Genomic DNA, 1,522 nt, shown 5'->3' on the forward strand with positions numbered 1-1,522 from the left:
ACAAAAACCTCAGACTCAACAGGCCCCGCACTGAACTCAGCTTCTTTGCAAGCTGTTTACCTTTAGTTGTTATCTGTCTGCATGGCTCCCTCACCATCTCTACAGGTGCACATTTCTGATTCCCCATCTTCACTGCAGGTCCCGTTCATCTTGTCTCCCAAAGATTTGACTATGATTCCCTCCTCTTCATCTTCACTCTCACACAGATGCTCTGTGGAGGCTCTGACAAAGATTCTCTGCTTGACCAAACATTAGCCAGGTTTCTGAACCTTCTTGTGGGCCCAACTGTGCACTTCCTTATAAAATACAGTTTTAGCAAAACCTTGCTGTCTTAGTTTAGCAAGAACCCCTCATTATTGATGGTTTTTCAGGTTCCTCATCTGCCACCTTTCCCCAGGTGATATCCGATTACCTGGGCCTGTCTTTAGCAAGAATTCTGCTATTGGTTTAGCCAGAATCCACCCTTACCCTGAGGTTTCCTGTTAGTGACTGTCCACCCACTGGCATCCACCCTGCTTCTTGGCTGTAAGTTTCAACTTGCTGTGTTTCAAGTTGAATCCCATCTGTCTTGTCCACTGAAAAACCCCATTGCTATGGCCCCTATGCCTATGGCAATGGGCTGAATAAAGTATCCTTTATCATACTTCAACATGTGTCATTGAACAATGTTTTATCTAACAGCTCTCACCATTCTTTTCACGTGTTACTAGAACCATCTCCCAAGTGTCCATGCTCAATCTCTTCTAATTTGTTCTTTGAAGGATTATGTGTATCATTTCATAAAATTCAAATTCCATTATGACACCCACCTGATTGAAATGTTTTAAAAGCTATATATTATTTTTGATACTAAGCTCAAGCTTTGAAGTATGGCCACACAGTCTTCAATAATATGATTGCTATTTGTCTTCCTAGCCTCATTTCTTTCTGTACTTAGGCAGGGACTTGTCTATTCCTTCCTTCCTGATCTACTTGTTCTTTGAACATACTAAACTTTCCCTTTGCTCTTAACACCTATTCTAAAATTCTCATCCTCTTGCTTACCTGACTCTCTCCTACACATTTATCACAAGCTACATAAGGTATTACTATGACCAAAAAGTCTTACTTATAACTCTTAAGAAGAGGGCACCATGCATCCTTTCTCTGTCCCCACCATACTTGCATTTTGCACCATCATTGCACTTTGATATTGAGTTGTGATTAGTTGTTTTCTTGTTTATATATCCTACTGGGTTCTGGGTCTCCTCAAGGTAGGATGTGGCTCAAAGTCAACATCAATACATATTACTAGAAATGCCCTTGGAGAGAAAAGGATGAGTAAAGTCTGTATCATTAGGAGCAATAACAAGTATTGACAAACTAACTTATTCATACTTGATTTAGAGTATGTGTTATAGACCAATAAAAAATAAAACATGTTTGGACAGAAAAGTAGTGGTAAGATTAGAAAGAGCCTTGATGTCAGACAAGGAATACTAGAGGAAAGGAGACTGCAGGATTTTTTTTTTAAGTAACATAA

Source organism: Homo sapiens, chromosome 7, assembly GCF_000001405.40.
Source record: "Homo sapiens chromosome 7, GRCh38.p14 Primary Assembly".
NCBI lineage: Eukaryota > Metazoa > Chordata > Mammalia > Primates > Hominidae > Homo > Homo sapiens.